Genomic DNA, 13808 nt, shown 5'->3' with positions numbered 1-13808 from the left:
AATTTAGCCAGACATGGTGGCACACACCTGTAGTCGCAGATACTCGGGAGGCTGAGGCAGGGGACTCACTTGAATCTGGGAAGTGGAGGTTGTAGTGAGCTGGCACCGTGCCACTGCACTCCAGCTTGACAACAGAGCAAGACTCCATCTCAAAAAAAAAAAAAAAAAAAGCTAAAAATATACTTCACAGTGGCAGGACCGCAGATGTCACTTCAGATGAGCAAGAATGAATCCACCAAGCATCACAATAGAGGTGAAGCCTACATTTCACCAAAGCAGAAAAAGGATCCTACAAAATATGCAATTTTTAACTGATAAAATAATGAAACCTCCTGATACAAAAGTATGGGATAGGGCAATGCCTCTATGACACTTAAATGCTAAAATATTAGTTATTAAACTGAAGCAAATTAGGTCACTCCAGTTCCCACAAAGCTGTCCAGCTCTAGACCAATTCTAAAAGTATGTTAGGTAAGACAAGGCTAAGAAGGACAACCACCCTGGGCATCCCGACACCTAAAATCCTCCAACCTGGGGATAATTTAAAGAAAGCCGACCTCCTAAACTTATTACAGAGTCCACCATCCAGGAGAGGAAAGACTAGAAATTATCTAAGTGAATTATGTAATTTGTACAAGACCAGAGTGGTGCTATACTGGAATGGATTTTCTCCTGTAAAATAACCTAAGCATTCTTCCCTTTGGGGGGAAAAAAGCTACTGCTTCTCAGCCTTTTGGTTAAGATCTAACCTGGGGGAATGCCACTGACAAGGTATTTTATTTGCAGCCTCTTTTGACATCATGACATCTTACTTAAAGACAGAGAAACAAATGGAAGCTAAGGAAAAAGCTTTTTAGTTAACCTATCCTACCTCTAATAAAGTATGATATTGAAAGAAATCTCTACTAAAAATACAAAAATATGGCTGGACATGGTGGCTCACATCTGTCATCCCAGCACTTTGGGAGGCTGAGGCTGGAGGATCACAAGGTCAAGAGTTCAAGACCAGCCTGACCAACATGTGAAACCCCATCACTACTAAAAACATGAAAATTAACCAGGTGTATGTAGTGGCGTGCACCTGTAATCCCAGCTACTTGGGAGGCTGGGGCAGGAGATTCGCTTGTACCCAGGAGGCAGAGGTTGCAGTGAGCAGAGATTGCACCACTGCACTCCAGCCTGGGCGACAGGGTGAGACTCCATCTCAAAAAAAAAAAAATACAAAAAATTAGCCTGGTGTGGTGGTGCACACCTGTAATCCCAGCTACTCAGGAAGCTGAGGCATGAGAATCACTTGAACCCGGGAGGCAGAGGTTGCAGTGAGCCGAAATCACACCCCTGCTCTACAGGCTGGATGACAGAGCAAGATTTCATCTCAAAATAAACAAACAAAAAAAGAACAAATATATTTCACAAACAAAATGGATGACTACATGCCAATTCCCTCCCTGATTAACACAAAAGAACAAAGAAATTGAGATAAGAAAAATTTTAATGTAGATATTTGGCCTGAATTAATAGATATAACAATATCTAAGTGGGTATTACTAAAAGTTACCATTTATTGAGCTCTAGACATATACTAGGCAGTGTGCTAAGACTTGATGTGTGCATGAGCTCACCTAAAAGTCTGGTTCTACTATTAGCTGTAAGTCTGTAGGGAAGCTACATAACTTCCTCAAGCTATGTTTTTCTAACTCAAAGACAGATACCTTAAAGATCATCTGCTGCTGCCTCTCCTTTGACCCACTAACAGAGACTACAGGTTATTAAGCAATATAAAACAAGGGTTATTAACAGACTCTGTTTTTTGCTGCATCCCCCTCAACACCCCCGAGCTCCACAAATCTTAAAGTCAAATGCTCTTAGCCTACTTTATTTTGGTACACACCTCAGAAACGAACAGAACTGTCAAACACCTGTGAAGGCAAAGATCAGCTCTGTTCTGCTCTACACGGCCTCTGCAGCAGCTAGCAGTACTTAGCTCTCAGTAGCACCCACTCCAACAGCAAGTTGTTTAGCTGTTCCTTACACACACGCACTCACATACGCACACTCACACACACACAGACTCTGAAGCTTCCCTGGCCTCTCCATCTAACTACCACCATCCTTACCTCTTGCTGCAAAAACTCCTAACTGGGCTTCCCACTTCAATACTTTCTCAACTCAAAAAGCCAAGTGTTCTTTTTAAACCTTAAATCAGAACACGCCACTCTTCTGCTTCAGATTCCCCAAGGATTTCCTACGCACTGCATATCTAAACTACTTACGATGACCCAAGGCCCTACTAGATTTGGCCTGCTTACTTTCCAGATTGCTCATTAGGCCCCAGCAACATGAGTTTCCTTTCAGTTTCTTCAGGAGCCCTTCTCTGCCAGGTCCTTCCTAGCTGGGCCTTTGTCCTTCTTTACTCTCTTCCAGGAACGCTGTTCCTGGCTCATTCAGGTGGCTAGCTCCTCCTCAAACTTAAGGTCTCAGTTCAAATGTCATCTCAGAAGAGTCTTTCCAACCACCCTACATATAAGGTAAGCTCCCACTAGTTACTCTCAATCGCATCACCCTTTTGGTTCATTTATAGGTTTATCATAATTTGAAATGGATTACGTACTTTATTTTATTGAGTATATTCTGTCTTCTCTCACTAGAATAAAAACTACCTGTTTGATTCTCTATAATATTTGTTGGATAAAATAAACAAACTCCCATTCATGGGTCTGATGTTTTTTAAAATAAATAAACAAGAAATATACAAGACTTATTTGTACAGGACTTATTTGAAGCAAAGTTTGAAAATCTACTGAGACACATAAAAATCTGTTAGAACACAGGACAGAAAGTACATAAAGATGTCAATTTCCCCAAACTTCACCTCCAATTTCAGTATTCCCAATCAATATTCAGTATTCAATAAAAATCTCTATGATTTCTTTTTGAATGTCACAGAATGATTCTAAAGTTCATCTAGAAGAACACATAGACCAGAATTGTCAAAGTCTGAAAAAAAAAGAGAAATGAACAGGTAATTAACCCCATCTGTATTAAAATTATAAAATGATAGTAATTTAAAGTGTATGGTAATACACAAGAGACCAAAATAACAAGACCAATCAGAAATAGTCCCAAACACATTTAGTAAATGACAAAAGCTGCAATTCTAATAGGGGGCAAAAAACAGATTATTCACTAAATGGTGCTGACACAACTAGCTAGATGGGGTAGAATTCACACACAATTTTATCCCCCAAAATATGTCTCACTTCTTATACCAGAAATAAATTCCAGACGGATCAAAGAATTAGAAGTTTTAAAAAGAGAAGGAAAAGGAAAATAAAGAAACCATTGAAGTATTAAATACAATCTGGGGACTTCTTTGTTTTAAAAATACAAAAACACATGCAGTTAAAAAGTCTTCCTCTCACTCATTCTTCCTACTATGACAACCAATGTTTCCAAATATCATATATCCTGTGATATACAAGCAAAAATGTATACATTGTTTTTCATCTTTAAAGCAAAGACACATAGAGGCATATAATGTTCCTCACTTTGTTTTTCTAGTTTAGTAGCTAGGTGAATATTTTACATTTTGGAGCAAGGAAAGTCTTAAGTAGAGCACAAAACACAAAAGTCACATAAATAAATTAATAACAGTCACAACTAACATTTATTATTTACTTACTTTGTGCCAGCCATTATGCCTAATGCTATTTACATTATCTCCATTGTACAAATAAGGAAATTAAGGTGTACAGAGGTTAAATAATGTGCCCAAGGTCCCACAGCAGCACAGTGCTGGGTTTGGATTTATCTGACTGCATAACATTACAAAAGAATAGCTAGGGGGATATGTGCACACGTACGAAAAAAGTGAATAAGGCCAGACGCATTGGCTCACACCTGTAATCCCAACACTTTGGGAGGCCCAGGTGGGCGGATCACCTGAAGTCAGGAGTTTCAGACCAGCCTGACCAACATGGAGAAACCCCATGTCTAGTAAAAATACAAAATTAGCCGAGCATGGTGGCGCAGGCCTGTAATCCCAGCTACTCAGGAGGCTGAGGCAGGAGAATCACTTGAACCCAGGAGGCAGAGGTTGAGGTGAGATGAAATCACACCATTGCACTCCAGCCTGGGCAACAAGAGCAAAACTCTGTCTCAGAAAAAAAAAAAAAAAGAAAGAAAAAAAAAGAAAAGAAAAAGAAAGAATTAAAAAAGTGAATATGTAGAGAACTTTTAACCTGTGAAAAACCAGTAACCCCAACAGAAAATAAACAAAGAACAAAAGTAGGCAATTTATAAAAGACATATGGCCAGGCGCAGTGACGCACCCTGTAATCCCAGCACTTCGGGAGGCTGAGGTGGGTGGATCACCTGAGGTCAGGAGTACAAGACCAGCCTGACTAACATGGTGAAATCCCATCTCTACTAAATACATAAATTAGCTGGGCGTGGTGGCAGATGCCTGTAATCCCAGCTACTTGGGAGGCTGAGGCAGGAGAATTGCTTGAACATGGGAGGCAGAGGTTGCAGTGAGCCGAGATCGTGCCACTGCACTCCAGCCTGGGCAACAAGAGCAAGTCTCTGTCTAAGAAAAAAAAAAAAAGGCCAGGTGCGGTGACTCAGGTCTGTAATCCCAGCACTTTGGGAGCCCAGGCAACAAGAGCAACACTCCATCTCAAAAAAAAAAAAAAAAAAAAAAAAAAAAAGAAAGAAATACAACTTTCTCCATATTAAAAAATGTTCAGCCTCAATAGTGATTGACAAAAGGCCATCACATTTTTTCAGTTCCTAAATTGTCAAAATGTTTTAAACTGTAATATCTAGTATTAGCCAGGGTATGGGGCATATGTGAATACTATTGGTAGCTTTACAAATTGGTACAACAACCTTTTGGAAGGAAAATGTATAAATATCTATCCATATCTACATTATTCACATCTTTTGATTTCAGCAACTCCACTTCTAGGAATCTATCCTACAAAGCTGTTTGTATAAAGTACACAAAATACATATACATATGTACATGTGCATAAATAGTCATACACACACACAATTGTTTACAGCTTTCTTTTTCTGGCAACAACAAAAAAATCCAGTGACCATAAGTTGATTAAGCAAATTATGGTATTTTCTTTTTTTGTTTGTTTGAAACAGAGTCTCACTCTGTCGCCCAGGCTGGAGTCCAGTGGCATGGCTCACTGCAACCTCCACCTCCCAGTTTCAAGTGATTCTCCTGCCTCAGCCTCCCAAGTAGCTGGGATTACAGGCACATGCCACCATGCCTGGCTATTTTTTGTATTTTTAGTAGAGATGGGGTTTCACCATGTTGGCCAGGCTGGTCTTGAACTCCTGACCTCCGGTGATCCAGCCAGCTCGGCCTCCCAAAGTACTGGGACAACAGGTGTGAGTCATCGTGACTGGCAAATTATGGTATTTTCATGTACTAGAAATGGGGTATTTAAGTTGCTGTTAATGATTGATAGAGGTAACTCTGAAATAAATAGACAAACTTGCAACAGTAGTATATAAAAGAATAGTATATTATGATCCCATAATTTAGAAAATTATACAAACACAGAAAAAAAAACTGGAAGAATATGCAGCAAACTCAGTAGATTACATCCAGGAATTTCAGTATATATAAAAAATAATGTATTACTTACAATTAGTGAAAGATCAAATTTTAAAATAGCATATCCTCCTCCTTCATGCATTAAAATGATTTTGTGTGAATATAAAGTAACTTCTTTCTCCCCCCTCAACAGAATGTATATACTCCTACATCAGGTATATTTATGTTCTGCATATTTTAGGTTATAACTCCTAGATAGCACGTTTTGATTTCATTCCAAATACCTCCAAATACATAAAAGTTATTGTAGTTAAAAATGAATTTAAAAATATTAAAAGTAATGCAAAGTTAAACATCTTTGAACAGAAACTCAAAGTCCTGATGATGACTACTTAAACATTTTCAAAATTACATTAATCTCCATGTTATTGCCAAGGGAAATGAATTGCCTAAAACAAATTACTCTGAATGTGAACAGTGTATGACAGTGATAATGGCAAGAAGAATGTCTGTCAGTTCAACCAAGTATGGGGTAAAGGGGCAATCTATAAGCATAAAGGTGACTCTCATCATAAATCTGAATCAAATTTTGCTAGAAAAATGTAACCTTTGCCAGGTGCTGTGGCTCACTCCTGTAATCCCAGCACTTTGGCAGGCCGAGGCAGGCAGATCACGAGGTCAGGAGATCGAGATCATCCTGGCTAACATGGTGAAACCCTGTCTCTACTAAAAATAGAAAAAATTAGTCGGGCATGGTGGTGGGCACCTGTAGTCCCAGCTACTCTGGAGGCTGAGGCAGGAGAATGGCGTGAACCTGGGAGGTGGAGCTTGCAGTAAGTCAAGACCATGTAACTGCACTCCAGCCTGGGTGAGAGCGAGACTCCGTCTCAGGAAAAAAAAAAAAAAAAAGAAAGAAAGAAAAGAAAAATGTAACCTCAATATATTTGGTTTTGATTATCAGTTTATTTATGTATAACAAATAAAAAAGACAGCCAAACAGCCCAAATTTTGTTCCTCGAGTACACTGTAATGGGGGAAAGAAATCCAAATAAGTTGGGAATCTTGACTTTTCCTTTACTCCTGACGAATCTACTTAAGAATTTAATTTTTTTAATATAAAACTAGTTGATATTATTCTTTCAAAGGGAGTCCTAAATTCTATTATAATCAACCAACTGTTCCATATTTCTTTTTTTTTTTTGAGATGGAGTCTCGCTCTGTCACCAGGTTGGAGTGCAGTGGCACAATCTCGGTTCACTGCAACCTCTGCCTCCCGGATTTAAGCGATTCTCCTGCCTCAGCCTCCTGAGTAGCTGGGACTACAGGCACGTGCCACCATGCACAGCTAGTTTTTTTTTTTTTTTTTTTTTTTTTTTTGTATTTTTAGTAGAGACGGGGTTTCACCATGTTGACCAGAATGGTCTTGATCTCTTGACCTCATGATCTGCCTGCCTGGGCCTCCCAAAGTGCTGGGATTACAGGCGTGAGCCACCATGCCGGCCAATCGTCCCATATTTCTAACTCCCAGTTTTTTCCTAGGATTGAAATTACTCCGAAATTCCCTGCATATATAAATTAAAACATTATTGCTTTCTAATATTATCTAGAACTATGAGTGCTGTCTAGGATGAACCAATCCCATATTTACTTTCTCTTCCTCCCCCAAATCCCAATAAACAGAACTTTTTTTTCTTTTTTAAAGAAATGCTTTTAACTGGGCTCAGTGGCCTGCACCTATAATCCCAGCACTTCAGGAGGCCAAGGTGGGAGGATCTCTTGAGCCCAGCAATCTGAGGTCAGCCTGGGTAACATAATGAGACTCTGTTTCTACAAAATAAAAGAAATTGACCAGGTGTGGTGGCACACACCTGTAGTCCCAGCTACTCAGGAGGACCGTGTGAGCCCAGGACTCGGAGGCTGCACTGAACCATGATCACACCGCCACACTCCAGCCCGGGCAACAGAGAGAGACCCTCTCTGTAAAAAAGAAAAAAAAAGAAACATTTTGATAATTTACTAATTACAGCTATGTTAGTCACTGACATTGGTGAAATTTCTACCTGTTTTTTAATTTCCAAAAACTATTCAGCATCAAACTGCCATATGTGTATCAGACATCTTCTACAGCATCCACACTAACTCTAGCTGCTAAGCTCTTTTATGCATTCAACAAGTATCTACTACTCCTTGGCACAGGGTGTTATTCTGGGAGTGAGAAAAGAGGAAAAAAAAATTTAAAAACTCAGATACAGACATGCCTACAAAGGGCTTATGGTCTAGAGGCAAAGGATCAAGAGTTTCCAGAAAAAGAAAATATACATTTTGGAGAAGAGGGAATAGGAGAGACACTTCCTGGATGACGTAATATGTGATCAAACCCTTGAAAAATAGGATAAATTTAGATGTAGTAGAGTTTGGAAGATAAGGGAGGAAAGGAGTATTCCAGAAACAAGCATAGTAAGAAGAAAGAACAAATAAAAAATTCTTCTTAATGCAACACAAAATAGCCCAAGTAGAATAAAGAAATATGCCATGCTTCAGTATTTATGTAAAGATTATCAGCTTAATGAAAATATGCCTTTTCCTTTACAATAAATTTTACAGGCTGGGCATGGTGGCTCATGCCTGTAATCCCAGCACTTTGGGAGGTCATGGTGGGAGGATTACTTGAGCCCAGAATTCAAGACCAGGCTGGGCAAAACAATCAGACCCCATCTCTATTTTTAAAAAGTTAAAATAAAACAAAATAAATTTTATAGCATGTATACATACAGAAAATATTACAAATGAGCTTTTTGATGTAAAAAAAATCATAAAGAATACAGTCGGCCAAGTGTGATGGCTCACACCTGTAATCCCAACACTTTGGGAGACCAAGGCGGGCAGATCACTTGAGGCCAGGAGCTCGAGATCAGCCTGGACAACATGACGAAACTCCGTCTCTAAAAATACAAAAATTATCCAGGCATGGTGGCATATGCCTGTAATCCCAGCTACTTGGGAGGCTGAGCACGAGAATTGCTTGAACCTGGGAAGTGGAGGTTGCAGTGAGCTGAGATTCTGCCACTGCACTCCAGCCTGGGCAACAGAGTGAGACTCTGTCAAAAAAAAATTCATGTTTGTGCTATTTATCTAAGCATTTATATTAATATAACAATTGAAATCCTTCATACTTAAAAAAAATCCAGAAGTCTGAAAGTAGGCAAAACAAACAACAGCTAATTTATAAAATAATTTAACCTATTTGTAGGCCAGGTGCAGTGGCTCATGCTTGTAATCCCAGCACTCTGGGAGGCCAAGGCGGGAGGATCACCTGAGGACAGGAGTTCGAGATTAGCCTGACCAATACGGAGAAACGCTGTCTCTACTAAAAAATGATTTTAACACTGTCTTTATTTCCCAAAGATCACTGAAGTCATGTTAAATAAAAGGCATTAGAGATTCTATTTTTCTGACAAAATATTTAAGAGACTTCCTTTTCTTCTAAGCCAAGTAGTTAGGGCTCCTTTATATATCCATCATATACACAACACTTCTAGACAGGAAAAGATCTAGCAGTTGTTAAGTTTTTCTTTCTCATTTTATGAACCCTAACACAACTTCCACAGACTATCTATGACATGAACTTTCTGACTTTTCCTGTACTTCCCTCTTTCATAATTAGTCATTCTACTTTAGGACAAAAATTTGCCATACAAGATCCTCTCATATAACATTTCTTTCCTTCACAACTTTTCTTACCATAAATACATCTTCATATCCACAACTTTCTTTAGATCTCTCTCCCTGACTGATTTCTGATGCCCACCCAAACCTAAAAGGTCAGATAACACAAAGCAAAACAGAGGAGAGCTTTAGATTTTGAGAGAGACCCGTCTGCCTGAAGTTCTTGGGGTTCCATGAGGACAACAGAGGTTTCTCCTAAAATGGGTTTTGTAGCACCTTCTGTTTTTCTTTAAGGAGTCCCAGGCTGTCAGAAATTACCTTAGGTCTTGTCATGTGGGCACTGAGTGGCAACAAGACAGACTAGGGAACAGTCGCAACATGACAGACAACTGAGCAGAAAAAGAAAAACTTACTGCAGTCCCCACTGTAAAGATGGATAAACTGAGGCACCATACAGTTTAAAAATTCATGTTACATAGAGTTGGGCTCCACAGCTCACTCTCTTAACCATCCTGTAATTTTGCTGAATCTATGCCCAGTCACTGAAGTACTTGTACGGTACCTCATGGCCCCCTTAGAGCTTAGAACCTGGGTTTCATTCTTGCTCTACAGCTATATAATTTAACAATTTTCCTCTGAATTTGTTGGATTCTAACCCTATATTTCTAAAATTTTATTAATATTACTGAATCTTAAAGGGAGCTGTGATGTCTTTAGTTTTTAGAAATATTAAATCTATCAACAAAGGACTATATGAAGTTAAACTGTATTCAAATTTCTACATGCTTTAAAACTTTGAGGCAACATATTAAGAAACACACCTAAGAAACTGCAACCAATCTACTCTGGACAAAAACTTAGATACTAACTCTTCAAAATAAGCTACCTAGTGGTATTTATACATATTCTTCCATATACCAACAGTATCTTACATGCTCATAGCCTTAAAAATAACTGAAGTGTCAGAATTACAGGCATTACACATTTCTGTTGGCTTGAAAAATGATAAAAAATGCATAAACTTCTAGAGTGATCAGTTTAATAAAAGAGTTCATACCAAAGGTAATAATACTAGGAATCAAAGAGGGCTAAACACTGCAGGTTCTTAAAGGTGAAAGTTAATAAAACCTTGTTTTTGGTTGTGAATGTTTGCCTTACAACATTATACACATGATTCTCCCCTCTTCTTTTTCCTCTTGCAAAGATGTGTTGATGAACCCTTTGTTCATGCAGATGATAATACTCTTGAAAATGGTGGCAGAAAAAAAATTAAGGGAATATGGTTCACTTAATCATCTCATAAATTAGAACTTATTACCCCTGTGACTCTTGCATAGCTCCAGAAAAAAGTGTGAGAGAGATGAAATGGCTGTTTGCTACCAATATTTTATGTGATGCTTCATTTTTTGATTCCTTGAATAACACAACACATTAGTCCATTTATGCCAGAGGTTGCAATTTTTTGAATTTTTGCATAAGTGAAAAATCAGACCTTTTCGATGACATTTAACAGTAGGATATAAGTAATTTCCACATGCTTAGCATGGAACACTAGGCATAAATGGGTTAACACAATTATGAAAGCATAACTATTCAAGTAACTAATTATACAACTCATTTTTTTTCCTCATCTCTAAAACATAGTAAGGGATCAGTTATTTAAAAAACACAACAGTGACAAGTATTTTATTTTTAACTCAGTTTTGGTGGTTAAGGCCATTGCTTGGCATAAGAATACAAAAACAGGAGGAGAAACAAGAATACAAACATGAAATAGAAGCAGTAGCAAAAGAAAATGAAGAGGAACAAGAAAATGAGAAGAAAACACAATGGAAGAAAGGAAAAAGAACAGGTGTGGGAATTAGAAGGCCTATCATATAATACTTTTTATCCCCTCCTCGATTCATAAAATTTGAGTAACTCCAAGAGTATCACAACAAAAAACAAGCAAAAGGATACACAAATAGTCACTAAATTTTGTTAAGAATGAGATAATGCTGCCACTCATGCCTAGCTCAGGCACCGGCAGGAGGAGGGCACACTCCAGAGATTGCAGGAGAAGGGGGAGGACTCCTCTTTGCCCTAGGTGTACCACCACCACTGCCACCGAGACCTTCGTTACAGCACCCACAGGTTCCTCCCCACCCCAGAACGGGATGGGCCCTGCAGTGCTCCTACTCCCCCTTCCCGGCCCCCAGACTTCCTACTGCTACCACCACTAGCACCAATGCCAATACAACCAGTCACCCTCAATGTACCAGCCCACTCTACCAGGCTCCTACCACCAAGCCCCCGTGGGTGCCCTCCTACCGCTCCATTCTAGCTATGGTCTCCATCTCCACCACCAACTGCATGAGGCAAGCTGCAGAGCCACGGCATCTGCTCAACCATACCACAGGCGACTCCTCCTTCTCCTTCTTCAGAGTGGCTTGGAGCAGCTGGGCAGGCAAAGCCAGAAAAGCCCAAAACAGGACTCAGGGATTGGAACCATTAGAGCCTCACCTCGTTAGGCTGGTGACTGGGTGTCAGGGATCAGTTTCATTGAAGGCACTCACACCCACCTTCCAAAGTCCAACCTCTCCTTCTGGCAAAAGCTGGCCAGGAACTGGGGCCTGGGGTGGGAGTGAGTGCCTTCACTGAAACAGGCCCTTGGCCAAGTACACCTGGCCAGGAATTGCTGGGCCCACCAAGGCTGTCCTCCTCCGGGAGCCTGCGTAGGAGAAACTAAGACCCAGCCAGCCCTCCCCACCAAAGGGCTGGTTCCCATTCCTGACACCTCCACCAACAGTGCCCTGTTTCCCACTTCCCCCATGGTGCCTACTACTCCCTGCCCGGTAGTCCCACGTGATCTTCGCAACACAAAGCATGAGGGCAGGCTGGGAAACCACAGTGGGTGTGGAGGCCCTACCATGCAATCCAGCTCGAGCAGAAGAAAATCGCCTTCTAGAGTCTGGAGTCTGAGAAGAAGAAAACGATACCTTACTTGGAAGCTACGAGAAGAAGGAAGCCACTGCTGTCACTGCTGCTGCCACCTCACCAGCTCGCCAATGCCACTGGCAGTGTAGCCCCCATGGCACCCCTAATCTGCCCCCTGCCACTAGCAGTGTAGCTCCTGGATAACACATCCAACACACCCTACAGTTTCAGGCAATGTAACCCCAATACCCCCTGACAAAAACACTCCCCCCACACCTCAGGGAGCATACCACCCAATAGTGCCCACAATCTGACCCAGCCACAGGCAGTTCAGCTCCTAATGGTGCACCCCTCCAGTCACAGTGTAGCACCCAACAACGCCCCTAAACCACCCCCCCGCCAGCATTGTAGCCCTGGATAACTCCACCCAACCCACTCCCTGCTGCGGGCAGTGCAGCAGAAAATAGCGCCCCTAATCCTTCCCCAGCCACCAGCAATACAAGCTATTGTACACAATCTGCCTCCCCCCACCACCCCTGCCACCACAGGCAGTATAGCCCCAGATAGCCAGGCAACCTGCCCCACCACCAGCAATGCAACCCCGGAGAGTGTCCCCAACCAGACCACTGCCACAGGCATGGTAGCCTCTAGCAGTGAACCCCAATAGGACACCCAACCCTTGCCCCCAGAGGCATACAGGGCAGGCCCGGAAAAACTCACCTACCCCATCACATTTCTACCACTGTGGCTGAGCTGCAGTCTCCGATGTCACCACCAACCACAGCGAGGCGAGCCATGGTGGCACAGGTTCCAGCCTCCAGCATGTGGCAGTGCCTCTTCCTTCTAGTCCTCCAGCCCAGCAGGAGAAGCTCCTGCTGCCGAATGCTCTCCTACTGCTCTATCGCCACCACCAACTGCAGCGAGGTAGTGACCCAGGTTCCAGGCTCCATCCATCCTCCACCCTCCAGCAGGCGGAAGATTGCGGCCTCTTCCAGTCCTCTAAGCTGGGCACAGAGTTGCTCCTCCACTCGACACAGAAGAGTCTGAAATGACCTGACGCCACCTCAGCATCCTTTATATATGAGGTTATGCAAATGCAGTTCCTGGACTGCATGTCTTGATTGGATGAGAAAAAAACCTCTAGGCCTACTCTGATTGGACTTTATTTTCATGCTGTGATTGGTTGTGTTAAGACTTGCTCTCATCCAATCAGAACATGATCATAAAGTCCAATCAGAGTAAGCCTGGAGGTTTTTTTCTCATCCAATCAAGACATGCAGTCCAGGAACCTCCATGGGCACTACCGCAGTACATAAATGATGCTGAAGTGCGATCACTTTTTTTCAGGTTCCTGTATCTTCATGTCGAGTTGCTCATTGCCCAACGTAGAGGACTAGGAATCAGGATTCGGTGGCTATATGCTGGAGGCTGGAGCCGCGGGAGCGCGGCTCGCCTCATTGCAGTTGTTGGCAGTGACGGAGAGATAGCATCGCGGCTGGAGAGGTAGGAGAAGGAAAACAGTTTTGGGATAGATAGAGGGGAGCAAAGAGGGTAGTTAGGGCCAAAGGGAAAAAAGGATAGCTTAGCCAGAGAAGGAATTGAAAAAAGATGGTGGTGAAAAGATGGTGGGGAAATGGTTTTTGCGTAGATG

The 13808-nt window shown here is 41.5% G+C and overlaps 1 long non-coding RNA gene across 1 annotated transcript in view; it reads right to left on the bottom strand.

Moving 5' to 3' along the window:
* The window catches only part of LOC105379562 (uncharacterized), a 29333-nt gene extending 16121 nt beyond the window's left edge, over nt 1-13212 (bottom strand). The window contains exon 1 of the long non-coding RNA XR_951439.3: nt 12878-13212. This is a non-coding gene — a long non-coding RNA (uncharacterized LOC105379562). The remainder of the gene's footprint in view (nt 1-12877) is intronic.
* Nucleotides 13213-13808: the final 596 nt, after the last annotated feature.

Source organism: Homo sapiens, unplaced genomic scaffold, assembly GCF_000001405.40.
Source record: "Homo sapiens unplaced genomic scaffold, GRCh38.p14 Primary Assembly HSCHRUN_RANDOM_CTG27".
NCBI classification, from domain to species: Eukaryota; Metazoa; Chordata; class Mammalia; order Primates; family Hominidae; genus Homo; species Homo sapiens.
Note: the sequence above shows the minus strand (reverse complement) of the source record. Positions and strands in the feature narration are given on the sequence as shown.